At 47.1% G+C, this 27,831-nt stretch overlaps 6 annotated features.

Moving 5' to 3' along the window:
• Window positions 9,690–10,889: an enhancer, noted in NCBI's record as "P300/CBP strongly-dependent group 1 enhancer chr21:34752348-34753547 (GRCh37/hg19 assembly coordinates)". NCBI's record gives its function as "activates an origin of replication core promoter dependent on BRD2, BRD4, P300/CBP, MED14 and CDK7 cofactors, with strong dependence on P300/CBP, by STARR-seq in HCT116 cells {active_cell/tissue: HCT116}" and the evidence as "EXISTENCE:reporter gene assay evidence [ECO:0000049][PMID:35650434]".
• Window positions 10,052–10,211: an enhancer, noted in NCBI's record as "active region_18378". NCBI's record gives its function as "activates an Ori minimal core promoter by ATAC-STARR-seq in GM12878 lymphoblastoid cells {active_cell/tissue: GM12878}" and the evidence as "EXISTENCE:reporter gene assay evidence [ECO:0000049][PMID:35858748]".
• Window positions 12,654–13,013: an enhancer, noted in NCBI's record as "active region_18379". NCBI's record gives its function as "activates an Ori minimal core promoter by ATAC-STARR-seq in GM12878 lymphoblastoid cells {active_cell/tissue: GM12878}" and the evidence as "EXISTENCE:reporter gene assay evidence [ECO:0000049][PMID:35858748]".
• Window positions 12,654–13,125: a biological region, named in NCBI's record as "Sharpr-MPRA regulatory region 6397".
• Window positions 12,831–13,125: an enhancer, noted in NCBI's record as "tiled region #6397; HepG2 Activating non-DNase unmatched - State 1:Tss, and K562 Activating DNase unmatched - State 1:Tss". NCBI's record gives its function as "activates a minimal TATA promoter and a strong SV40 promoter by Sharpr-MPRA in HepG2 and K562 cells {active_cell/tissue: HepG2 | K562}" and the evidence as "EXISTENCE:reporter gene assay evidence [ECO:0000049][PMID:27701403]".
• Window positions 15,691–15,896: a silencer, noted in NCBI's record as "fragment chr21:34758349-34758554 (GRCh37/hg19 assembly coordinates)". NCBI's record gives its function as "represses an EF-1alpha promoter that drives an FKBP-Casp9 reporter gene in an ReSE screen in HepG2 liver carcinoma cells and K562 erythroleukemia cells {active_cell/tissue: HepG2 | K562}" and the evidence as "EXISTENCE:reporter gene assay evidence [ECO:0000049][PMID:32094911]".

A 27,831-nucleotide genomic window follows, 5' to 3' on the forward strand; every position in this document is an offset into this window, starting at 1 on the left:
AATGGAATTCTGCCAACAGGAGCAGACTTCAAGAATTCTCCCCCACAGAGCCTTCAGATGAGAACACAGCCCAGCCGACACCTTGACTTCAACCTTACAATATGCTGAGCAGAGAGCCTAGCCATGCTGGACTTCTGACCACAGGGTGTGAGCTAATCCATGAATATTGTTCTAAGCTGCTAAGTGTGTAGGAATTTGTTGCACAGCAACAGAAACCTAATATACTAGGTGACAGGCACAGAGAGGTTCATAACCCTAGTCTATTTCTGTACAAGTCTGAAACTTTCCATAGTGAAGAAAACCAAAATATTTCACCCCAAAATATATTTCCTTGACATAGTTCAAGATGGTGATTCAGAAGGGCTAGAAATACAAGAGCAACTAAAACGCTGTCTTTTGTCAGGGAGATTTGCATCTGTCGAGAAAATCTGCACGGATGCAACCAGGCTTCCTCTCAGGCCCTCCCTTGTCCTATCCAGGAAAGATTAACTGAGAGTCAGACATCTTTAAAGGTCCGAAAAGCATTCATCACCTATTCTCTCTGAGCACTGCTATCTGTAAACTTTCTAACAAGACCACCTTTGCTAACCAGACCTCATCTTCTCCCCCTCCCATACCTGTTTTGCCATGATTCAAGTCCCCATTCTGTCTGTACACTCAGGAAGGCATGGAAGCTACTGAGCCCCACTGGGGAGTTGGGGTCATCACTCTGGGGTTCTCCTGTGTGCACGTTAATACATTTGAATGCCTTTTATCCTTTTAATCTGCCCTTTTTTTTTTTTTCTGAGATGGAGTCTCACTCTGTTGCCCAGGCTGGAGTGCAGTGGCATGATCTCGGCTCACTGCAGCTTCCACTTCCCAGGTTCAAGTGATTTCAAGTGATTCTCATGCCTCAGCCTCCCAAATAGCTGGGATTATAGGCACGCCCCACCACACCTGTCTAGTTTTTCTATTTTTAGTAGAGACAGGGTTTCGCCACGTTGGTCAGGCTGGTCTCAAATTCCTGGGTTCAAGCGATCCACCCATCTCAGCCTCCCAAAGTGCTGGGATTATAGGTGTGAGCCACCAGGCCCAGCCTTTATCAGCCTTTTGTCCACTGATTTTTCAGCAAAACCTCAGAGGGTGAAGAGGAAGTTTTCCCTTCGTCACCATAACAGTCATCATAAATGTTTAAAATCCTGATTTTCATGTTGCTAATCGAAGCTGAGTGTTGGGAACTCAGCTGAGTGGCTCATTATACTTCTCTCTAATTTCAGGAACATATAAAATTTCCCATAATAAAACCTTCAAAAATTTGTACAATGATTGATTGGTCAGCAGGCAATTTGAGTAGTTCCTACTTACATTATTTTTGTAAGCAAATATTAATAAGTGCCAGCCTTCTTAAAGGGCTTGTCACCCAGTCACTGGAATCATTCTGTTTCTCAACTGAGTTGTCTCTTAGCTTGTGCCCCAGAGATTTTCACACCCAGGTCATCCTAGTGAGAGTCCAAGGGTGGGAGAGAGGAGCATGCTTTTCTTTATGAAGTAAAGGAAGGGTGATTGTGGAAGGGAAGGTGGAAAAGAACCTCAAAACGTGGGCCCTGAAGATGAATTGTAGGCAAAAGCACTTATGGAAGCTGAGAGATTGCAAATTAATTGCATTAAAGCAGTGGTGGCAGTTTTACCCCCAGAGGAATTTCGCATTGTCTGGAGACATTTTCGGTTGTCACAACTGGAGGGTGGGGGTAGGTGCTACTGGCATCTAGTGGGTACATGCACAGAACAGTCCCTTTTTCCCCACCCAAGTATCATCTGGCCCAAAACGTCAACAGTGACCAGGTGGAGAGACTATGCCTTAGACACATCTGTGTCCACACTTCTGGAAAATCACCAGAAACCCCTAAAATTGTGCATACTCTTTTTTTTTTTTTTTTTTTTTTGAGATGGAGTCTCACTCTGTTGCCCAGGCTGGAGTGCAGTGGCGCAATCTCGGCTCACTGCAAGCTCCTCTTCCCGGGTTCACGCCATTCTCCTGCGTCAGCCTCCCAAGTAGCTGGGACCACAGGCGCTCACCACCACGCCCAACTAATTTTTTTTTGTATTTTTTTCATAGAGACGGGGTTTCACCATGTTAGCCAGGATGGTCTCGATCTCCTGACCTCGTGATCCACCCATCTCAGCCTCCCAAAGTGCTGGGATTACAGGCGTGAGCCACCGCGCCTGGCCAAAGTGTGCATACACTTGACTTTGTTACTTTGAGAGACGTATTTCAATTTTTCTGCTACTAAAAGTGATTGCTTCTACTTGGGAAGGTATGAGCATGGGATGTAGCATTTGTCACTGCAGAGAGGCCAGCAGCCCCCAGGTCTGTAGCAAGACACCCATGCCCTCACTTAATGCTGAAGGAGACCATTGGACTGGCTCCAGAGGGCACCGCCCAGGTGCGCGGGTGCGGTAGGATTGTTTTTGGGGAACCCTGGGGCCAGGCCTCACCTTGTGGGTGGAGTAGAGAGGTTGCTCCTAAAAGAAATGAGAATGGGCCTGTAATCCCAGCACTTTGGGAGGCCGAGACGGGCGGATCACGAGGTCAGGAGATCGAGACCATCTTGGCTAACACGGTGAAACCCCGTTTCTACTAAAAATACAAAAAATTACCCGGGCATGGTGGTGGGCGCCTGTAGTCCCAGCTACTTGGGAGGCTGAGGCAGGAGAATGGCATGAACCTGGGAGGCGGAGCTTGCAGTGAGCCGAGATCGCGCCACTGCACTCCAACCTGGGAGGCACAGCGAGACTCCGTCTCAAAAAAAAAAAAAAGAAATGAGAATGGGCGGGCGCCGTGGCTCACGCCTGTAATCCCAGCACTTTGGGAGGCTGAGGCGGGCAGATCATGAGGTCAAGAGATCAAGACCAGCCTGGCCAACATGGTGAAACCCCGTCTCTACTAAAAATACAAAAATTAGCTGGGCGCGGTGGTGCGCACCTGTAGTTCCAGCTACTCGGGAGCCTGAGGCAGGAGAATTGCTTGAATCTGAGAGGCGGAGGCTGCAGTGAGCCGAGATCGCGCCACTGCACTCCAGCCTGCTAATAGAGTGAGACTCCGAAAAAAAAAAAAAACAACGAGAGTGAGCCTCAGCCCTCCTGGGAAGCAAATGAAATGAACTTCAGGCCAGGAAATGAAGACTTGAAGGAATCCATAATCCCTGATTCAGGGAGGCACCTCTCCCTCCCTCTGATCTCAAGGTGCGTGGGCATCTACCAGGGTGAGAGATTTGCCTGAGGGCACTGTGATTCTGAAGAGGTTGGCCTGGCTCCTTAGCAGACAGGAGGCCCTTCAAGGCCCTGAGTTCATTCCTGTGGGTTCCAAGCATGGCCCCAGCATGGCAGCATTAACAAGTGACTGCCTGGGTAGGAATTCCCTTCCTTTACCCATAAACCTTCAGGGAAGTCACATTAAAGCTGTAATCTTGTCACCACTATCTCTTTGGAAAATGAAGGGAGGGATTTATGCCCAGAGTTGGCTGAACCAGTAGAGAGACAAGCAAAAGGCAGGAGGTGCCAGTGTGGTGAGCAGACCCCTTGGGGAATAGTAAGCAGGCTCTGCTACCAGATGACCAGTTTCTTCGAAACTGGGAGAATTCATCTGAAATGATTATTTATGAAGTTCAAGTATATATTCACCCTGAGCAAGAAGAGTTTATTTGATTTCATTAAAATCATAACTGCATGGAAAACAAGTTGGTAAAATAAAGCATTTGTGTTGCACGTGTTTTCCTCTAAAATTAAACTGGGATTATACCCAAAAGCTGCCTTCTGTAACCAGCTCTGTACCAGTTTGGCTGGTATCTACTTCCTGAAACTCACATCTTTATGACAATAATCATCAAGAATAAATACATGAAGCAAAGCTGGGTCTTCCTAGTTCTGTTGCTGCTTGTCACTTCAGGGAAAGGAAGTTGAAAGAAAGAAGACCGAGTATATTTGTTCATCCTACAAACTGTGTGAGTGTATTGTATGCCCTATAAGGTGCACATCTACTCATTGCCAGGTTCAAGGATCTTTGACTTGGACAAAGTAGAAATTTGGGATGTATACTGCTTTTGGGACTTTCCTTCAACTGTAAACAATTATTATGGAGAAGCATACATTTCTCTGATTCTTTGTTGGCCTTTCAGCCTCTTGACCCACTTCCTCAAATGTATAGTGGTTTTTATATTAAATTTTCCCCTTGACTAAGCAAAGCATGTAGTGTCCAGTTACACTTCCTCTTCAATAGGGAAATGCTTATTTTTTCTATTTGTAGAACTTAAAAGCAAACAGTTGCAATATGAAAAAAATTACTTAGTTCACCCCCCTAGAGTGTGGAAATGGATGATTCAGAATTATTATCAAGTATTTCTTTTGGAGGTTGTACAAAGTTCAGATTCGCAATTAGGCACAAAACAATGTCTTGAAGGGATAGGGACTCCAGGGTACAGTAACCCAATTTGAATTCCAGCCCTGCCACCTACTGGCCGTGTGACTTTGGGCAAATAACTTTAGGTCTCTGTACCTAAAACCCCAAGAAGTGCTTGGTAAGTATTATATAATAATTATAGTAATAAACATAAACTTGGCATGCTCATGCTCACATCGGTATCACAGGGACATTGTAAAGAGAAATGATGAGCATGCAGCTTCTAGCGCAGTTCATAGTTGCAGTATTATCTAGATGATTCTAGGGTCATGTGCTTCAGTCACTTTTTTTTTTTTTCAATAGAGGCAAGGTCTTGCTATGTTGCCCAGATTGGTCTTGAACTCCTGGGCTCAAGTGATCCTCCTGTCTCAGCTTCCCAAAGTGCTGGGATTACAGGCATGAGCCACTGCACTCAACCAAGACACATTTTCCTTCACACACACACACAAGTCCTCCATTATAAAATGGGAGGTGCTGATGCTGATTTTAAACCAAATCAAACCGTCCCACTCTTCAGTCTTTTCCCATCAACATAAGTAGCCACTCCTTCCTTCCAGTCGCTAAGGTCAAAAACCTTATGCCACCCCTGACTCCTGCCTTTCTCATGACCCGCATTCTATCTGTCAGGAAATCGCACCCATGCTACCAAAATACCTCCACTCTGACCACTTTTACCACTTCCACTGCTACTACCCTGGTCCAAGCCACCATTCAGAAAATTAGGACACATCTAAAAAGCATCTTCACAGAAACATCTAGAATAATGTCTGACCGAATGCCTGGGTAGCATAACCTAGTGAAATTGACACATAACATTAACTATCACATGATGTTAAATAAATGATCAAATAGTTGATCCATTAAAATAAGAGTTCAAATGGCTTAGTTTAAGCTAGTGTCATTGAAAGAAAAAAACACACCATTTAAAAAATATGTTCAGGCTGGGCAAGATGGCTCACGCCTGTAATTCCAACACTTTGGGAGGCTGAGGTGGGTGGATCACCTGAGATCAGGAGTTCAAAACCAGCCTGGCCAACATGGCGAAACCCCATCTCTTCTAAAAATACAAAAATTAGGGAGGGTGAGGCAGCAGAATCGCTTAAACCCAGGAGACAGAGGTTGCAGTGAGCTGAGATCGTGCCACTGCACTCCAGTCTGGGAAACAGAGCAAGACTCCATCTCAAAAAAAAAAAAAAAAAAAGTTCAAATTTCAGGGTTTTTAAAATAGACATATTTTTTTCTCTAATGCTAATTTCATTTAAGGTGTTTTCAAAAAGTTAAACAAAAATTTTTCTAAAACTAGATTGTGGTAGTATTTATATAACTCTGAAGTTAATAAGAATTATTGATGTATACATTTAAGATGGATGAGTTTGTGGCATGTAAATTATACCTAGATAAGGCTGTTTTTTTAATTGGGCAATAAATGAGCTGTTGATTATGTAAAAACATTCTATTTCAGGAAGAATATTTAAACAGAAAATTCCGGGGCTGAGACACAACTACACTTGATAGTATGCAATTATAAGTAGGATAAAATCGGGAGACACTTGAAAATTAGTATTACAGACAAAATCCTGAGTAGACACAAGAAAATAATATTTTTAAAATAATCTTTTAAAAATAATTTTTGGCCGACTGCGGTGGCTCATGCCTGTAATCCCAACTCTTTGGGAGGCCGAGGCGGGTGGATCATCTGAGGTCAGGAATTCAAGACCAGCCTGTCGAACATGGTGAAATACCAGCTCTCCTAAAATTACAAAAATTATCCAGGCATGGTGGCGGGTACCTGTAATCCCAGCTACTTGGGAGGCTGAGGCATGAGAATGGCTTGAACCTAGAAGGCAGAGGATGCAGTGAACCAAGACTGCGCCACTGCACTCCAGCCTGGGTGACAGAGTGAGACCCTGTCTCAAATAATAATAATAATAATAATAATAATAATTAATAATGATCTTTTTAAAAGGTAATAAGTTTTTTTCTTATAAATTTGAATGACACTGAAAATATCAACTGCTTTTGGAAGGAAAGAGCTAAAATGCACCCTTTGGATTTAGCCACAAAGAAGCCACTGGTGCCGTGACAGTGACACTCTCCCTTCGTGTTCAGCGACATCAGCACTGGGCTTCCGGAGGCACCTGGAGGAGGGAGCTTCCTTCCCACCTTGTCTTCCTCCAGCGCCACTCATCCCATGTAGGGGACAAACAAAACCTTCCAGAGGTGGGCACCGCTCACCTCTCGGTCCCTCATTTTCTCCCAGCAATCACACTGTGCTCAACCTGCCCTTTTCCTTATTTACTCTCCTTTCTATCTAGCACAGCCACCTTCTCTACTTTCTCCAATTTGCCAGTTTTTCTGGGATTTTTTTTTCCATGCTCTTAAAAATTTCCCATCCTCATGGCAGTGACCACAGTCACCGCAGCATTTTGACAGGTATGAAATGAGACTCATAGTTAGCCACTGTGTGCTCACCTGCTCTGAATATGGTGCCCTGAAAGTCCCTGGACTGTGAGAATTGACAGACACAGATGACCAGTCACCTCTTGACTCACATGAGGTCCAGAAACCCATCTGTACAGCTCCCTTCTTGCAAGGGATCTTAACTGGAGGAAGAGAAAACTCAGCCCCTTTTGACGAATGTCTCATGAATGCAGATGCTGGCTGGCGATAGAAAGGGTGGCAGAATTTGTAGACTGTAAGAACATTCTCCACCTAATTACCCCTTGGCCCAACCTCTATCATTCACTTGCTTCTCCAGTGCCCAGGAGCGATGGGACTAAGCAGGCAGTGCTGAAAGAACTGTGGGGACTCTGTCTGAAAGACCTGGCAAAAGAGCCGGAGCAGTCAGCAGCAGTGTCAGCAGCACAGAGAAGGCATAGCCAACAGCAACATAGCAGAGAAGGCAGGGCACAGCCAACAGTAGGGCTGCTTGCAGCAGGTGCATTTCTGAGGATATGTGTGAGCCCTGCTTTGCTGCCTAGGCTTCCCATCTGCTCTTCTCTCCCCACCCAGGAGCCCTTTGAAGAAATGGCGGAAGAGAAGGAGCCTTTCAAAAGCCAAAGCCTGGACTTCCAGCAACATAGCTAAGGGACAACTGGATTGTTGAGATTTGAGATTCTCTATAAAGGCGATACAGTATACACACACGCTGTGTGGAGCCTGGGACATTCCAGAGATGTTGGTATATGGCAAAGCAATTTATTTGCATACATTTGACATGTATCCAGTCACTTTCCCAAGCTCATGGATACTGGCAAAGCTGTCTTGTTTATTTGTTTGTTTTGAGACAAAGTCGTGCTCTGTTGCCCAGGCTGGAGTGCAGTAGCACCATCCTGGCTCACTGCAACCTGTGCCTCCCAGATTCAAGCGATTTAGAGCCTCAGCCTCCTGAGTAGCTGTAATTACAGGTGCGCCACCACACCCGGCTAGTTTGTGTACTTTTAGTAAAGACGGGGTTCCGCCATATTGGCCAGGCTGGTCTTGAACTCCTGGCCTCAGGTGACCCTCCCACCTCGGCCTCCCAAAGTGCTGCGATTACAGGCATGAGCCACCATGCCCGGCCATGGCAAAGCTTTTAATTGCATCTAAGTGTTTTAGAACAGTAGTTCTCAAAGTATCCAGAACTCCTTTCAGAGGGGATGCAAGGTCAAAACTGTTTTCATAACCAACCAAGAGATGAATTGTCTTTTTCACTATCATTCTTTCAGTGGGATATGCAATGGGATTTTCTAGCGGCTGCATATGTGATATTGCACCCGTGCAGAGCAGAGCAGATGTAAAAACCCAGCTTCCTTCTATTAGGACAGAAACTAAAGAGATGTTTTAAAATCTCTTTTTAAAGAATAGCAATTTTGGCCGGGCGCGGTTGCTCACGCCTGTATTCCCAGCACTTTGGGAGGCCGAGGCGGGCAGATCACTTAAGGTCAGGAGTTTGTGACCAGCCTGACCAACATGGTGAAACCCTATCTCTACTAAAAATACAAAAAGTTAGCCGGGCATGGTGGCATATGCTTGTAATCCCAGCTACTTGGGAGGCTGAGGCAGGAGAATCGCTTGAACCCAGGAGGCAGAGGTTGTACTGAGCCAAGATCGCACCGCTGCACTCCAGCCTGGGCGACAAGAACGAAACTCTGTCTCAAAATACATAAATCAAAATTAAATGGCAAAACTCTGGAGAATGCTGGAGGAATGTGTGACCTCCAAATTAAGCAGAGCATCTGTGAGCTGGATGTCCCGTACCCGTTAAAAGTCACTCCCCGTCTCCCCTCCTGCCAGCCCCTGGCATCCATTAATGTACTTTCTGTCTCTATGAATACGCCCATTTTGGAAATTTTACATAAAGAGGATCATACAATACATGACCTTTGTGACTGGCTTCTTTCACTCAGCATCACATTTTTGAGGTTGGTCCATGTCGAAGCGTGTATCAGTGCTTCTTTTCTTTATTGCCAAATAATTTCCACCATTTGGATATGTCGCGTGCTTTGTATCTAGTTATAAGTTGATGGACATTTGGCTTGTTGCCACTTTTGGGGGCGATTATGAGCAGTGTTTTAGGGGCCCACTTTCTTTTTCTTTCTTTTTTTTGAGCAATTTTATCAAAGAATACTTTTTTGTTTTGGAAAATATATTTTTCATGAAAAATATGTGGTTTCTGTTAACATGTAATTGATATGTTACTTTTTTTTTTTTTTTTTGAGATGGAGTCTCACGCTGTCGCCCAGGCTAGAGTGCAAATGGCGTGATCTCGGCTCACTGCAACCTCTGCCTCCTGGGTTCAAGCAATTATCCTGCCTCCCGGGTTCAAGTGATTCTCCTACCTCAGCCTCCCGAGTAGGTGGGATTACAGGCAGGCACGACCACACCCAACTAATTGTTTGTATTTTTAGTAGAAACGGGGTTTCACCACGTTGGCCAGGCTGGTGTCAAACTCCTGACCTCGGGTGATCCACCTGCCTCGGCTCAGGACAAACCACCCAAAATATGGCCATAGGAGATCAGAACATGCCAAAATATACTTCCTTGGCATATTTTGAGCTGGTTATTTTGAGAAACTACAGGCACAGGAACAGCTGAAAAGCTGTCCTTTTGTAAAGAAAATTTATATCTACAAAGGAAATCTACATCGGTAAATTGTATCAGGCAGAAGGCCTGGGATATCTCTATTTTTTTTTAATACCTCTATTAGCTCAGAGACTGTTTCTCTGCAGAGCAGGACAGGGATTGCTCACCAAGCACTTACTTCCCTTTCCCTGCCATGACTTGCTGTTGCTTAATCCCCGGAAGCCTCAAGCCTCTACTCCTTTCTGTAGAGCAGAATGCTGTATAAGGCCTGACATGGTGGTCACACCTGTAATCCCAGCACTTTGTGGGGCAGAGGCAGCTGGATCACTTGAGGTCAGGAGTTTGAGACCAGCCTGGCAAATATGGTGAAACCCTGTCTCTACTAAAAATACAAAAAACAATTAGCCAGGTGTAGTGGCACATGCCTGTAATCCCAGCTACTCAGGAGGCTGAGACAGGAGAATCACTTGAACCTGGGAGTCACGGGTTGCAGTGAGGAGCCGAGATCACACCACCACACTCCACCCTGGGTGACAGAGCAAGATTCTGAAACAAAACAAAACAAAAAACCCAAACAGAATACTGTATAAACCTCAATCATCTGGACTTTTTGAGCCTCAGATTTGGTGGGACTTCCATGCGTATACACATAATTAAAATGGTTTTAGTGGAGAGACTGTCATCTGTCCACTGTCAGTTTACTTCATAGACTCAATTATCAAACCTTCAGAGAGTAGAAAGTTTTACTCTCCACCACACTAGTCTTTAAACATGCGTGGTGTCTCTAACATGCAGCCGAGCTGAGAACACTGGCTGGGCTATCTTCAGGCCTCCCACGCCCTCCGCTGTGACTCGCTCTGACTCACACAACAGGATGGCAGAGGCTTGGCAAGACAGGAAGCCAACGCCTGGGGCAGCAGCCAGGTCTGTGCTCCCGGAAATCCACATTTGGTCAAAGGGGACACTTCGGGGTTGGTCCTCCCTCTGGCTGGGTTGGCCCGATTTCTTCCTGCCTTGCCCCCATGCTTCAGAGACTCCTCCACACAGAGCTGGTCTTAAAGCATAAACAAAACCCATGGATGATGGGGCCACAGAGATTAAATGGCAAGACCCCGGAGGATGCTGGAGGAATGTGTGACCTCTAATTATGCAGAGCATCTGTGAGCTGGATGTCCCGTACCCGTTAAAAGTCACTCCTCGTCTCCCCTCCTGCCAGCCCCTGGCATCCATTAATGTACTTTCTGTCTCTATGAATGCACCCATTTTGGAAATTTTACATAAAGAGGATCATACAATACATGACCTTTATGACTGGCTTTTTTCACTCAGCATCACATTTTTGAGGTTGGTCCATGTCGAAGCGTGTATCAGTGCTTCTTTTCTTTATTGCCAAATAATTTCCACCATTTGGATACATCGTATGCTATGTATCTAGTTATAAGTTGATGGACATTTGGCTTGTTGACACTTTTGGGGGCGATTATGAGCAGTGTTTTAGGGGCCCACTTTCTTTTTCTTTTGTCTTTTTTTTTAACATGGTCTCACTCTGTCGCCCAGGCTGGAGTGCAGTGGCACAATCACAGCTCACTGCAGCCTCACCCTCCTGGGCTCAAGCAATCCTCCCACTTTAGCCTCCTGAGTAGCTGGGACTACAGGCATGAGCCACCACATCCAGCTAATTTTTTTTTCTTTTTTTTTTTTGTAAAGATGGGGGTTTCCACATTGCCCAGGCTGGTCTCAAACTCCTGGGCTCAAGTGATCCACTGCCCTCGACCTCCCAAACTGCTGGGTGCTGGGATTACAGGCGTGAGCCACCACTCCCAGTCTAGGGGCCCACTTTCGAATCACAAGCAGCCACTTTCTGGAAGGCACCTCATCACGCATTGGCAGGGCTATGTCCCTCACAGGTTGCCCCAGATGACGGTCTTCCCAAGTGACTTCTGCTCCAGGTCCACTGTTCAGGCTCCCCTTGGTCCTACCCCTCCAGACATCCAGCCTTGGGGGGATCCTGGGCCCCTACTGTTCTTTCCTATATCAGCCTCAGCCAAGCTCTCCTCACCCCTCAATCCATCAGATGTCCTCCAGTGACATTGAACTTCAAAGAAAGAGCAGAGGCCAGGTGTGGTGGCTCATGTCTGTAATCCCAGCACTTTGGGAGGCTGAGGTGAGTGGATCACCTGAGGTCAGGAGTTCAAGACCAGCCTGCCCAACATGGTGAAACTCTGTCTCTACTAAAAATACAAAAAAATTAGCCGAGCATGGTGGCGGGCACCTGTAATCCCAGCTACTCGGGAGGCTGAGGCAGGAGAATTGCTTGAACCTGGGAGGTGGAGGTTGCAGTGAGCCGAGATTGTGCTACTACACTCCTGCCTGGGCGGCAGAGACCCTGTCTCAAAAAAAAAAAAGAAAGAAAGAAAAGAAGAAAGGGAGGGAGGAAGGAAGGAAGGAAGGAAGGAAAAAGAAAAGTAAAGAACAGAAAAAGAAGAAAGGAAAAGAAAAGAAAGGAAAAGAAAAGAAGGGAAGAAGGAAAGAGCAGAGAGGCCCAGTCGCTCTTCTCAGAGTCTCCGTGGCATCTCGGTAGATTTGCTGATCCCTTTACATAACCCAAGTTGAGGCATGCCCTAATTTCACCCACAAATGCTACTAAGCCCAGGCCCTTATCCAGCCAAAACCATCCTGCCAAGCTCCCACCACCACCATCAGCATCATTTTCAGGTTGTTGGTCATCACTGGTTGTTGGTCATCACTGGTTGTTGGTCATCTATGTCACCTAACAGGCCACTCATGACGTTAGCCCTTGACTTCAAAAAGGACCTCAAAGAAAATTCCAGTTTTCACTCCAAAAGGAGAAATCAGGCCGAGCTGTGATGGCTCATGCCTGTATTCCCAGCACTATGGGAGGCTGAGGCAGGCGGATCGCTTGAGCCCAGGAGTTTGAGACCACCCTGGGCAAACCTATCTTTCCAAAAAAATACAAAAAGATTAGCTGGGCATGGTGGTGCGTGCCTGTAGTCTCAGCTAGTCAGGAGGCTGAGGTGGGAGGATCACTTAAGCCTGGAAGGTTGAGGCTGCAGTGAGCGGTGATGGTGCCACTGCACTCCAGCCTGGATAACAGAGCAAGATGCTGTCTCAAAAACTAGCAAACGAAACAAAAGGAGAAACTGCTGGCAGCCCCTAATCTAGTACTGTCCCGGCTCCACCCACCTTCAGATCCAGCCTCCTCCCCTGGCACACGGGAGCCCCCTCCTCTGACTGTGCTGAAAGTGAGGGAAGATCCCCTCTGGGGAGAGAGCTGTAGCCTTGACCTCTGCACACCTTACTTATCCAGAGCACGAGGCAGGGCCGCTGACTCATCCTGGTTTACCCTGGGCTTTCCCAGTTTCAGCACTGAAAGTCCCGCATCTGGAAAAGCCCCTGAGTCGCTGACAAACCAGACAGTCCGGACCATGCAAAGCACAGTGCATGGTGCTTTAGCCACAAAGTTGATTGAAAAGTCAGAGGCAGTGAGCCACAGGAAGCGCCACGTGACCCAGACTGCGAGGAGGACACAGGAAACCAACCCTCACTGTGTCCTGCTAGGGGGTTAACCCGTCTACAAGCATCAGGGTTGCCATTTCAGAGATCAGCAAACTGAACAGCAGTCGTGACTTGTCCTCGCCTGCAAGACAAGCGAGTAACAAATCCATGAAGGGAAGGACACGGAATTGAGCAAGGGGGCAGGGCCGGATGTCATTTTGGCGTTTTTTTTTCTTTCAGTGATTGAGGTAAAATTCACATAACATAAATTAACCATTTTAAAGTGTACGATTCAGAGGCATTTGGTACATTCACACTGTTGTGCAAGCACCACCTGTATCTCGTTCCAAAATATTTTCACTTCCCCAAAAGGAAACTGTGTCCCCATCAAGCAGCCACACCCTACTCCCTCACCCCCGCCCCCAGCCTCTGACAACCACCAATGTACCTTTTGTCTCTATGGATTTGCCTTTACTGAACAATTCATAGTAATGGAACCATACAATATGTAGTCCTTTGCGACTGGCTTTTTTTACTCAGCATCAATTTTTTTTTCTTTTTCTTCGAGACAGAGTCTTGCTCTGTCACCCCGGCTGGAGTGCAGTGGCATGATCTCGGCTCACTGCAACCTCCACCTCCTGGGCTCAAGCGATTCACATGCTTCAGCCTTCTGAGTAGCTGGGACTGCAGGTGTGCACCACCATGCATGGCTAAATTTTTTTTTTTTTTTTTTTTTTTTTTTTTTTTTTTTTTTTAGAGAGGGAGGTCTTACTACATTGCCCAGACTGGTCTCAAACTCCTGGCCTCAAGCAATCCTCCTTCCTCGGCTTCTCAAAGTGCTGGGATTACAGGCTTGAGCCATCACGCCCAGCCTATCATCCTAGTTTTGTTTTTTGGGTTTTTTGTTTGTTGGTTGGTTTGTTTGTTTGTTTTTGAGACCTAGTTTCACTCTTGTCACCCAGGCTGGAGTGCAATGGTGCAATCTTGGCTCACTGCAACCTCCGCCTCCTGGGTTCAAGTGATTCTCCTGCCTCAGCCTCTCAAGTAGTTGTGACTACAAGCATGCGCCACCACACCTGGCTAATTTTTGTATTTTTAGTAGAGACAGGGTTTCACCATATTGTCCAGCCTGATCTCAAACCCCTGATCTCAAGTGATCCTCCCACTTTGGCCTCCCAAAGTGCTGGGATTTCAAGTGTGAGCCACCGTGCCCGGCTGCCTCATCAATTCTCTATAAACAGTTATTAATGAGAAGTCAGTTGAGCTGTTTCTATGTATTTGTTTCCAGAAAGAAACAGGGTGCACCTAGACCACCCTGGACCTCAGTAAAAGGCTCTCTTCCCTTTAAATAACTGATCGAGAACTTCTAATTATTCTTCTATGAACCTTAGAATGTACCAAGAAAATCCATTCCACAGAGTCTTATTTCTGGGCATCCTGTGCATATGAGCTGAGAGGAATCTGTGATTTTTATGCAGCGCTGAATGTCATCAAAAGGCTTCGAGGAAGAGTTTCCTGAGTTTCCTTGATGTTCGCGGCGCTTACTGTTACTTTCACACTTAGCTAAGTAACCTTTGATACTGTGTGGTTATAACATAATAACCACAGGTCCTTTGTCTTCTCTGTCAAGAGTGAAGAATTCGAAGGACTTTAACCACTGGTAAAAGTGTCTTCTCACATAAACCGCATAGCAGCAAGCATTACGTGAACCAGCTGGTTATTCTCACTAAATGGGTTAGATACAAGTTACAAGCCGATCGCGAAGCTGCCTAGACTGGATTGAGTGTAGGTTAGCCAAACGGCATGATTGAGAAGATAAATCTCATCTGTCCACCCTTTTCCCGTTAGTTCCAAGCCAGCCTCGTGGCTGAGCCCAGCTTCCCAAGCCTCTCTGAAGATGGCGTCAGGCAGTCCAAGCCCGGTTTAGCTAAGAGTGCTTCCAGCCATCCCAGGCTGCAATCACGCCTTCCTTTGCCATCTGGGCTCTCCCCAGGTTAGTGGAACTGCTTTCTGGAAGGTGAGTCCTGCCCTGTGGAGTGCCTGGAGTAGGGACTGGTCACCAGCATTAAGTGCCCAGGGAGGGAGCACGTATACACGAATCAATTTTTAGAAGAGACAATAACCCACTCAAAAAAGGGCAACAGCCAGACTGGTAGCTCATGCCTGTAATTCCAGCATTTGGGAGGCTGAGGCGGGAGGATGGCTTGAGCCCAGGAGTTTAAGACCGGCCAGGGTAACTTAGTGAGACCCTCGTCTCTCTCTATATATATTTTTAATTAGCTGGGCATGGTGACCCCTACCTGTAGTCTCAGCTACTTGGGAGCCTGAGGTGGGAGGATGGCTTGACCCTAGGAAGTTGAGGTTGCAGTGAGCTATGATCATGCTGCTGCACCCCAAACTGGGCAACAGAACAAGACAAAAAAAAATGGAGTGGGGGAGAAAAGATGTGATAATAGAAAAAGAGATTCAAGTGTTGTTAAACAATGGGTGGCCAGCCGGGCACAGTGGCTCACGCCTATAATCCCAGCACTTTGGGAGGCCGAGGCAGGCAGATCACCTGAGGTCAGCAGTTCGAGACCAGCCTCAACATGGAGAAACCCCATCTCTACTAAAAAAAAAAAAATACAAAATTAGCCGGGCGTGGTGGTGCATGCCCGTAATCCCAGCTACTCAGAAGGCTGAGGCAGGAGAATTGCTTGAACCTGGGAGGCGGAGGTTGCGGTGAGCCGAGATTGCACCATTGCGCTCCAGCGTGAAACTCTGTCTCAAACAACAATGGATGGCCAACCTCATCCACGGTCAAAAAATCCAAATCAAACAACAATGAGATATCCTGGGGGTGGGGGGCAGTTTCATGGACAAATATTACCCCGTTTAATATCCTTGGTACCAGTGAGGTTGTGGGGAAAGAATGTGCTCACTAGCGGCCCCTGAAGGAGAACTGAGCACCTTTCCTGGCCTTGGGGCCTCCAAACCGGCTTCCTGGATCTTCCAAGGATTCTGCTACCAGTGACCTTCCATTAATTTGTTTTCTGCTTAAACTAGCTAGGGTGGGTTCTGTTGTTTCCAATTTGGCCTCTAACAGAAGGCCTCTGAGCTTCAGTTTTCCTCCCAGGTGAGAAGGGGATACTGCTCTCTTCTTTACAAGTGGGTTGAGAGCGTTTCCCGAAATAACATCTCAAGTACAGCTGTTCACTAGATGGGTGTGTTATCAGCCCCTGTCCACAACCCCTTATCTGGGAACCTCAGGGGCCAGAAATGTTTCATGATTTGGGTTTTTTGGTTTGTTTTTAAGATGGGAGGGGGGATCTCACTATATTGCCCAGGCTGGTCTCAAACTCCTGGCCTCAATAAATCCTCCCTCCCACCTTGGCCTCCCAAAGTGCTGGGATTACAGGCGTGAGCACCTAGCCTAATTTGGCGTTTTAGAAAAGCGATATGGTGCAGGTAATATTAGGTAGCACTCTCAGCATGTTGTGGGCAGCACCCTGTAATCAAACCATTTCTAATTTTCTAGGGAAAGTGTATCCATTTCACATTTAATGGAAGAATTAAGGACTATATCTAGTTTGATATTAATTCAAGTCAGGAGTTAAGAAAATGTTTGTGATTTTCAGAGCTCTTCGGATTTTGGAGCTGTGAGTTGGAATTTATTTTCCCATAACCTAAATATTTTATTCTGTGATACTTGATTTTTTTGTTTTGTTTTGTTTTGCTTTGTTTTTGAGATGGAGTCTCACTCTGCTATCCAGGCTGGAGTGCAGTGGTGTGATCTTGGCTCACTGCAAGCTGAGCCTCCTGGGTTCAACCGATTTTAGAGCCTCAGCCTCCCAAGTAGCTGGGATTACAGGTAGTAGCCACCGTGGCTGGCTACTTTTTGTATTTTTAGTAGAGACAGGGTTTCACCATGTTGGCCAGGCTGGTTTCAAACTCCTGACCTCAAGTGATCCCACCTCGGCCTCCCAAAATGTTGGGATTACAGGTGTGAGCCACCATGCCCAGCCTGATACTTGGTTTTTTAAAAATCCTTCGACACAGGACTGGAGTATGACATCTGCAGCTCTCGTGGGAAGAGCTCTGGCCCCTTGGCTTATTCTTGCTTCTTAGCAGTCCCAGTGACCTTCAGCCTGAGGCAGGTGAGCCCCAGGTAGTTTATGACATCGCTGGGTTGTTGGCCTCTCCAAGCCCAAAGTGACACTAGCATTTCTCTAGGCCTTGAACTACCTGGGGAGTCAGAGCCACCAGCATTGAATGGGCATCAGTTTGTTTTTGTTTTTGTTTTTGTTTTGAGACGGCGTCTCACTCTGTTGCCCAGGCTGGAGTGCAGTGGCGCGATCTCAGCTCACTGCAAGCTCCGCCTACCGGGTTCACGCCATTCTCCTGCCTCAGCCTCCCGAGTAGCTGGGACTACAGGCGCCTGCCACCACGCCCGGCTAATTTTTTGTATTTTTCGTAGAGACGGGGTTTCACCGTGTTAGCCAGGCTGGTCTCCATCTCCTGACCTCTTGATACGCCCGCCTCGGCCTCCGAAAGTGCTGGGATTACAGGCGTGAGCCACCGCGGCTAGCCGAATGGGCATCAGTTTTACATATGGGTCCTGAACTGATTTCCGTGGGAGGAAATCCCAGAATTCCCAATTCAGATTAAGGGTAGGACATCCCTAGGTTAAAATTCTCTTATTAAGGTTCTCTAAGAAGTCAGATTTGAGCATACAGATGGACTACTACTGCAGCAATCACTGACTGAGCATTTTACAACCCTATTTTTAAGGTGCCTATGTAGTTTTTCCCTCTTGTCACAGCTTAATTGAGGTATAACTGGTATCTATTATGCCGTGCATGTTTTAAATATACATTTTGATAAGTTTTTAACATACGTGAAATCATCCCCACAATCAAAATCATAAATATCCATTACCCCCAAAATGTCCTCGTTGTACACAGTTTTGAAATAAATGTTGTTGGGATTATAAGAGGAAGTAGGCTGGGCACAGTGGCTCATGCCTATAATAGGAAGTGCATCATGTTTTCAGTAATCAAATCTGCCTAATGATCCATCTAGCTTCCTATTTATGCAACACATCTTACTTGTAGATAATTACCAAATTCTTGAAGGCCAGGCTGGGCGGCTCACATTTGTAGTTCTAGCTACCTGGAAGACTAAGGTGGGAGGATTGCTTGAGCTCAGGAGTTTGAGGCCAGCTTGGGCAACAAAGCAAGACCCCGGTTTTAATTTTTAAAAGAAAGAAAGAATGGAAGGAAGGAAGAAAAGTCCTACAGTAGGTTGAAGTTGAAGTGTGGCGACAACACTTTGGTCACCGATGTATCTCAAGTGTCTAGAACAATGCCTGGCATCTAAGAAGTGCTTAGTAAATATTTTTTGAGGAATAAAAAAGTAAATGAGTTTGTCTCTCTCTCTCTTTTTTTGGCGGAGGAGTGGGCAGGGTCTCACTCTATCACCCAGGCTGGAATGTGGTGATGCAATCATGGCTCACTGCAGCCTCGAACTCCTGGGCCTGGGCGATTCTCCTGCCTCAGCCTCCCAAGTAGCTGGGACTACAGGTGCACACCACCAAGCTCGGTTAATTTTTTTTTTTTTTTTTTTTTTTGAGATGGAGTTTCACTCTTGTTGCCCAGGCTGGGGTACAATGGAGCGATCCCAGCTCATGGCAACCTCTGCCCTCTGGGTTCAAGCAATTCTCCTGCCTCAGCCTCCTGAGTAGCTTGGATTACAGGCATGCACCACCACGCCTGGCTAATTTTGTATTTTTAGTAGAGATGGGGTTTCTTCATGTTGGTCAGGCTGGTCTCAAATTCCTGACCTCAGGTGATCCGCTCGCCTTGGCCTCCCAAAGCGCTGGGATTACAGGCGTGAGCCACCGTGCCTGGCCTCTAATTTTTTCTTTTTTTTTTTTTGAGACATGGGGCTTTGCCACATTATCCATGCTGGTCTTGAACTCCTGGGCTCAAGCAATCCTCCCGCCTCGGCCTCCCAAAGTGCTTGGATTACAGGTGTGAGCCACCGCACCTGGCTGAATCTCTTTTTGATACTTGGATAAGTCCAAGCTTCAGCATTAGAATATCATATCTGGTAGTGTTGCCTTTATTTGAGCCAATGTTTTTTGAGGTGAGGCTGTTTCCTAGGCAATGTGAGTGATGTTCATTTGGAAAACAGGAATGTCCCTGGGTCTTGAGTAAAGTGGGTTCTGGAGCTTCCTTTGCCTAGATGCCCCTATGCTACCTGGGGGAATGAGTTAGGAGGCATGTATGGATGTGCCCAGGTCCCTGGGTGTTGGACTGGACTGTGCTGGGAGGAATGGTGCCCTCCCCACTGCGTGAACTGGGAGGCCCAGGCAGGGTGGAGGCTCCCCCAAGCCAGGGGAGGTCATGGGACTGTGAGTTGGGGGTGCAGCCCATTGACAGATGAGAAGAAACTGCCACTCAGTGGACACCCCCCAAGTGCCTTGGGGATGTTGAAAAGCTCTGTGGATTGGTGCTTGTCTAGCACAACCAGAGGAGCCACCCCAGTTCCTGCCAGGGGCTCCCCACCTCCCACACAGAGAGTCCAGCCACCTGGGGATCTACCACTAATGCCAGAACAGAGGAAAAGGAGGGGATTTGACAGACTCTCCTACTGCAGACCCCAAGAGAATCGCCTGGGACTGGATGTAATGCAACTTGCAGTCCACTCATGGTCCTCTGCATTGCACGATCACCATGGTTCCAGATACTAGATGCTGTGTTCAGTGATTGACCGGGCATTCTCTGTCGCTGCCACTAAAACATAAGCTCCACAAGCTCAGAGTTTTTATCTGTTGTTCTCAGAACAGTGCCTAGCACAGAGTAGATGCTCAGTAAGTAAATATGTGCTAAATACATGAAAGAAGCGAGGGAGGGAAGGAGGGAGGAAGGGAGAGAAGGCACCATATTCCAGACCACCGCGTCCTTTCTGAACATGCTCCACCGCCCCTAGGCTGTCTGTGTTCTTGCCCTCATCCACAAAGGTACCCACATGAATTCGTGTTTGCTTTGCTTGGATCTGTTTTGTATGGATACACTAGAAGTCACACACTATGATGTTTGAGGTTTCCAAGATAAAAAGAAAGTTCACAGTGACAATAGTTTAAGATTCTGCAAAAGAAAGGACATTACATTAACGATGTATTTAACACTCACAAAATGTAGCATAATCTCTACATAATGGCTTACGCCCAGTGCCCATGACTGTACTGGGAAGTCACTATACCCGGGAGCTGGCCAAGGAAGGCTGAAGCTTGAGGGCTGCTGACAGTGAATGTGAGGCATTCGGCATCTCCTCTTATCACTGGTCAAGACGTGTTCAGGGCTTTGCAAAGTCAAGACTGTACCTGTAGAGAATGTCCTGAAACTATAGGCAACCTGATTTTCATACAATCTGGAAACACAGGAGAAGCAAAAGGTTCCTTCCTCTCCTGTCCTGTGTGTGGTTTCTACACACTTCTCAGAAAGGGTGAAATAATGCTGCCTTCTGGCCGTTTTGCTGGTGCTTAAAAATTGAGGAGTTTCAGGATATGAATTTTGGCCATTTCTGTATTGTAAGATTATGGAGGAATTGTTTTTTCTTCTTTATACTTTTCTGTATTTTATAGTTCCTTGACAATGAACAAGTACTACTTTTTGTTTTATTTTTTCCTGAGACGGAGTCTCGCTCTGTCACCCAGGCTGGAGTGCAGTGGCGCCATCTTGGCTCACTGCAACCTCCACCCTAGGTTCAAGTGATTCTCCTGTCTCAGCTTCCTGAGTAACTGGGATTACAGGTGTGTGCCACCATGCCCAGCTAATTTTTGTATTTTTAGTAGAGACGGGGTTTCACTGTGTTGGCCAGGCTGGTCTTGAGCTCCTGACCTCAAGTGATCTGCCCACCTCAGCCTCCCAAAGTGCTGGGACTACAGGCGTGAGCCACCACGCCTGGCCCAAGTACTACTATTATAAAGACAACAGCAACAAAAAAGTTAGAAAAATTTATGGGCTGGGTGTGGTGGCTAACGCCTGTAATCCCAGCACTTTGGGAGGCTGAAGTGGGAGGATCACGTGAAGCCAGGAGTTCGAGACCAGCCTGGGCGACATACTACGACTCCATCTTTAAAAGAATTTTTTTTTAAATTAGCTCATGTGGCGGCACGTATTCGTAGTCCCAGCTACTCACGAGGCTGAGACAGGAGGATGGCTTGACCCCAGGAGTTCCAGGCTGCGGTGAAATATGATTGTGCCACTGCACTCTGGCCTGGGCAACAGAGATCCTGTCTTTAAAAGCAAAAACAAACAAACAAACAAAAAACTTGTGTATTTAAGTTTACAAGTTCCAACTCAATTAAAATTTCATTTTAAGTTAGTCCATATACTAAGGGCCCCCACAGAGGTACAAATCCTAACAAAAGCAAAAATAGCCATTGTCCATAGCAGAAGTCAGACTGAAAGCAAAACGTGTGTGCCTGTAAACTGCCCTTCTCTTTTTTTTCTTTTTTTTTTTTGAGATGGAGTGTCACTCTGTTGCCCAAGCTGGTGTGCAGTGGCACGATCTCAGCTCGCTGCAACCTCCGCCTCCTGGATTCAATCGATTCTCCTGCCCCAGCCTACCGAGTAGCTGGGATTACAGGTGCCCACCACCATGCCTGGCTAGTTTTTGTATTTTTAGTAGAGACAGGGTTTCACCATATTGGCCAGGCTGGTCTCGAACTCCTGACCTCAAGTGAGCCGCCCATCTTGGCCTCCCAAAGTGCTGGGATTACAGGTATGAGCCACCACGCCTGGCCCCCAGAAGACTTGGATCCTTAGACCACACACCAGCTTGCCCTGGAAGCTTTAGTCCTGGCATGAGCCTCTGCGAGGGGAATGTGTTCCCAGAAAGAACTGCTTGTGGAGAGGAAGGAGTTAAATAAAGAACCCTGCTGTCCCAGTAACCTCTCCCTCCCTCCTGTAGAACTAACTGTCCACACTGCCCAGGCCAGGTCCCCACTGTTACCTTTTCACAACCAGAAAATTGTAGTCTTGTCCATAAATGGATTTGGATAGATTATTCAAGAAGCGCAGCAACTCCCTTCCACCCTCACTTGCCCTGAATCCCAGCCCCGGAAAGCAATTTTAATCTCTCTACCTCCTCCTTAGCTGAAGGCAGGCTTTGCCTAAGCTAATTGAACACTACACTGAATTTAACAAGAAAAGGACAAGAACCAGCCCCAGGAAATGTAGCCCTATAAGGGCCACAGGCCGGCAGATTTTGAGAGGAGGGGAATGCTGGCGTGGTGGCAGCCTAGGGCTGCCAGGCTCTGGGTGTGTGTTGGGAGGGGGGGTTGGGGGTGTGTGTGTGTGTGTGTGTGTGTGTATGCACACGCACTCACGCTGGGCAGGGGTGAAGGGGACAGGCCAAAATGGAAGTGGGGCAAAGAGTCCAAGGTCCAGACGCTGAGAGCTGCCACCTATCTGTCCAGTGTCATTCTGTGTAGCCCCTATGGTAGGCTGAATAATGACCCCCAGAGATGTCCACAACCTAACCCCCAACATTTGCGAATATGTTACCTTCCATGATAAAGGGGAGTTGGCAGATGTGACTAAGCGAAGGGTCTCGAGACGGAAAGATGATCCTAGATTATTGGGTGAGCCCAATGTCATCACAACAGTCCTTGCATGGGGAAGAGGCAGGCAGGAGGGTCCGTGGAGGAGGGGTGGGGATGGAAGCAGAGATTAGGGTGGTTTGAAGATGGCTTGAAGATGGAAGCAGGGAGCATGAGTTAAGGAATGCAGCCGGGCGCAGTGGCGCACGCCTGTAATCCCAGCACTTTGGGGGGCCAAGGCGGGCGTATCACCTGAGGTCAGGAGTTCAAGACCAGCCTGGCCAAAATGGCAAAACCCCATCTCTACTAAAAATACAAAAAAAAAAAAAAAAAAAATAGCCAGGCCTGGTGGCATGTGCCTCTAATCCCAGCTACTCAGGGGGCTGAGGCACGAGAATCGCTTGAACCCAGGAGGCGGAGTTTGCAGTGACCCCAGATCACACCATTGCACTGCAGCCAGGAGAACAGAGTGAGACTCCGTCTCAAAAAAAGAAAAAAGGAATGTGGCAGCCTTACTAGAAGCTGCAAAGGGCAAGGAACTGATTCTCCCCAGAGCCTCTGGAAGGACCACAGCCTTGCCAATCCATTTTGGGTTTCTCTCTTTCTTCCTTCCTTTTTTTTTTTTTTTTTTGAAACAAAGTCTCACTCTGTTGCCCAGGCTGCAGTGCAGTGGCACCATCTCGGCTCACTGCAATCTCTGCCTCCTGGATTCAAGAGATCCTCCTATCTCAGGCTCCCTAGTAGCTGGGACTACAGGCATGCACCACCACCCTCCCTTTCTTTTCCTATTCTTTTTTATAGATAGGGTCTCATTCTGTTACCCAGGCTTTGGGTTATATGGAACTGATGTCCCTTCCTTTTTTATAGACAGGGTCTCACTCTGTCACCCAGGCTGGAATGCAGTGGTGCAATCATAGCTCACTGCAGCCTCAAACTCCTGGGCTCAAGTGATCCTCCCAACTCAGCCTCTTGAGTAGTCCTCTACAGGTGCCCACCACCACGCCTGGCTAATGTTTTATTTTTTGTAGAGACAGAGTCTTGCTGTGTTGCCCAGGCTGTTCTCAACTCCTAGACTCAAGTGATCCTCTCATCGCAGCCTCCCAAAGTGCTGGGATTACAGGCATGAGCACCCAGCCCCATTTGGGATTTCTGACCTCTAAAACTATAAGAGAATGAATTTTTGTTTTAAGCCACTAAGTTTGGGGGGATGCATTACCGCAGCCATAGGAAACGAATCCAGCTTCCAAGAACTGGGGGCCCGGCCAGACCTCCATGGGGTGCACTGGCAAAAGAGACTGGCCCACCCATCTCTGAGCTGGGCATCCTCAGCCTGGTTCCCTGCATCTTGAGAGTCCTACATGGAAGGGTGAAGTCCCTTAGTGTGGCCCCAGCATTTCAAAACCCCTTGGAAGCCACCCATGTGCTCCCAGGCAGGCTTCCTAAGAAAGTGAAAACATCGAGTTTCTTCATTTGTGGCTAGTATTGCACCCCTTCAGTGTGGCAATGTGGTTCTGTCACCAGAAACGCTGACTGGCAACTTCTGTATGGTTGCAAAACCGGGACTGGATTCACTGAGACTGATTCCTACGGTGTGGTTCTGCTGTGGCAAGGCAAGCACAGGTGTTTTTTTTTTTTTTTTGAAACGGAGTCTTGCTTTGTCGCCCAGGCTGGACTGCAGTGGCGCTATCTCGGCTCACTGCAACCTCCGCCTCCCGGGTTCACGCCATTCTCCTGCCTCAGCCTCCTGAGTAGCTGGGACTACAGGCGCCCGCCACCGCGCCCGGCTAATTTTTTGTATATTTAGTACAGACGGGTTTCACCGTGATAGCCAAGATGGTCTCGATCTCCTGACCTCGTGATCAGCCCGCCTGGGCCTCCCAAAGTGCTGGGATTACAGGCGTGAGCCACCTTGCCCGGCCCAGCACAGGTGTTTTTGAGATAGTGACTGTTGCTATTTCCTTAACAATCTACATAAAATGAGCACCCATCAGGCAGAAGCCGGTGACATCTTCACTTCTGTTTCTCACATCTCTGTTTTATGGGCTCTTTTAAAAAAATTATGTATTTATTTATTTAATTTATGTATTTTGAGACAGAGTCTCGCTCTGTTGCTCAGGCTGGAGTGCAGTGGCATGATTCTGCAACCTCTGCCTCACGGCTTCAAGCAATCCTCCCACAGCCTCCCGAGTAGCTAGGATTACAGGCATGGACCACCACACCCGACTAATTTTTGTACTTTTAATAGAGACAGAGTTTCACCGTGTTAGCCAGCTGGTCTCAAACTCGTGAGATCCACTGCCTCGGCCCTCCAAAGTGCTGGGATTACAGGTGTGAGCCACTGCGCTCGGCCTATGGGCTCTTTTTTTACATATTGGCATAGCCAAAGACCAAGCCCTTCCCAAGACACGTATACACATGCATACACACACACACACACGAGGAAGTCATGCTCTTGAAGGTGAACAAACTCAGAGAATACAAGATTTACAAGAGGTTCAAGTACACACTTTCCAAACCCGAAAAGTAACAGTAATCAAATCAAAATACATGTTTGGAAAAAAGATTCAAATGTATTTTTTGAAAGCAAAGAGAGTCACAATAAACAAGGTAAAGAGTATCTGAAAGGGTATTCATATGTATGTTTGCAAAGAAAGAGAGTAAGAATAACAACTGTTTTTCACTTTCAGAATATGTGACATTAGATTCTTTGGGTTATATGGAACTGATGTCCCTCATGAAAAATTGTCAAGGAGTTGGGGGTGTGTAGGGAGCTCCAGGTGATTCTTTCAGGTGAAATCGTGCATGATTCTGGGTCCAGTGAAGGTGTATAGCGGAAGGAGGCTCCCACAGAAGGTGGGGTTGACACAGGCTGGAAAGCATGGCTGCAAGGGAGGTTGGGAATTTGAATTTTCTGGAAGCAGTAAATACTCACAAGACTGAAAATCCTCCCAGTACAGCAAGAGCGTTCCAAAGATTCTGGACAGTCAGAAATCAAGATAAATGGCCATTACCCTTACCTCATAGATGTGTTATGAGGGTTGGCAGAGCGATATATACAGCACAGGGCAGGAGGTCAATAAATGGTACCTCTTCTTATTAGAGGATATGGGCATAGCTCCCAGTTTGCCCACAGCCTTGTAGTGACTCATCAGATGCCCCATGGGCCTCCTCCTGGCTGTGGCTTACAGAAGGGGTCCCCAACCACTGCTCATGAACAGGGTTGAGCTACAAGCAAAGCTTCATCTGTGTTTACAGCCGCTCCCCATTGCTCGCCCCTGAGCTCTGCCTCCTGTCAGATCAGCAGAGGCACTAGCTTCTCATAGGAGCGTGAACCCTATTGTGAACTGCACACGCAGGGGATCTAGGTCACACACTCCTCATTAGAATCTAGTGACAGATGATCTGTCACTGTCTCCCATCACCCCCAGAAGGGACCGCCTAGTTCCAGGAAAACAAGCTCAGGGCTCCCACTGATTCTACATTATGGTGAGTTGTATAATTATTTCATTATATATTATAAAGTAATAATTATAGAAATAAAGTGCACAATAAATGGAATGTGTTTGAATCATCCCGAAACCATTCCTCTCTGCTCCCCCGCCCCCCACCCCCCGCCTGGTCCTTGGAAAAATTGTCTTCCACGAAACTGGTCCCTGGTGCCAAAAAGGTTGTGGACCACTGCCTTCCAGCAGCTGCTACCTAGCATGAGCCCTTGGTTAATAAACTGCTCCTACTCATGCCCAAGCTGCCAGGTTTTTCCTGGAAGTCTGCAGGATCCCAGAGTGCAAAATTATTATTATTATTATTGAGACAGAGTCTGCTCTATCACCCAGGCTAAAGTACAGCGGAGCGACCATAGCTCACTGCAGCTTTGAACTCTTCGGCTCAAGCAATCCTCCCATATCAGCCTCCTGAGCAGCTGGGATTATAGGCATAGGCCACCATTCCCAGCTAATTTTTATTTTTAAAAATTTTTTGTAGAGACGAGGTCTTGCTGTGTTGCCCAGGCTGGTCTCCAACTCCTGGGCTTAAGGGATTCTTCCTGCCTCAGCCTCTCAAAGCACTGGGATTACAGGAGTGAGCCACCGCACCCAGTCGGCGAGCAAATTTAAACACACAGAAAAAATGATAGGCTCTTAATCCTTCCAGGAAATGGGGATTGGTTTGAGTTTTTCTGAATTACAAAACCCAAGAGGATTCGTTACACAAGTCCTGTCCTGAGAACTCATGAAAAAAAAAATCTCAGGCCTGGGCCTTCTAGTTATTACTGGCAGCTTCCCAGGCCCTGGGCTGTGGCCCTGGGGTTGTGGGTGCTTTTCCTACATACCAAAGTCAGGAATATTAAAGCTTCGTATACTTAAAAAGTGTAGGAGTCTCCTGTTTTTCAAGGAGTTAAAAAGGAACTGGAAGATTTTCTTTTCTCTGCCTGTTGTCTCTTCTCCCTGACAAATTTCAGGATATCGGCCGGGCGCAGTGGCTCACGCCTGTAATCCCAGCACTTTGGGAGGCTGAGGCGGGCACATCACATGAGGCTAAGGGTTCAAGACCAGTTTGGCCAACATGGTGAAACCCCGTCTCTACTAAAAATACAAAAATTAGCCAGGCATGGTGGTGGGCGCCTGTAATCCCAGCTACTCGGGAAGCTGAGACACGAGAATCACTTGAATCTAGGAGGCGGAGGTTGTAATGAGCCGAGATTGTGCCACTGCACTCCAGCCTGGGTGACAGAGCAAGACTCTGTCTCAAAAAAAAAAAAAAAAATCAGGATATCATTCATTCCCTGTTTTCAGGAGGAATTAAATATAGAATGCTGTATGTGTAATAGTTACTCTTGTGAGGGTCCCAGACAGGAGGCAAAAGACTAGAGAAGACTTGGCATTACTGGAATGATGTTTTATGATGGCCCCACTGGGGAAGTAGAAATGCAACAAGTGTAGGCTGGTGAAAGGAGGGGGCTGTGGCCCATGACAAACAGCAAGAAAAACCCAGCCCATCACCGGAGACCTAAGGGAATTCATCCTTTCGCTAACATGCCAATTCCTCTGACCTTGATCCTGGAATTTCTTGAAACAAGGGGGCACCAAGTCACATATCAGGGCCCCACTTGGTAATGATCAAGGCCTACTTTGAGCTCGGACCTCTTACAGCTCTGTTGAATCCAGGGAAGACACTCACCTACCCACTCACAGGTGTCAGCGGCCCTGCCTTTGGCTATGTCAATCCCCAC

The sequence above is a fragment of the Homo sapiens genome, chromosome 21 (genome assembly GCF_000001405.40).
Source record: "Homo sapiens chromosome 21, GRCh38.p14 Primary Assembly".
Lineage (NCBI taxonomy): Eukaryota > Metazoa > Chordata > Mammalia > Primates > Hominidae > Homo > Homo sapiens.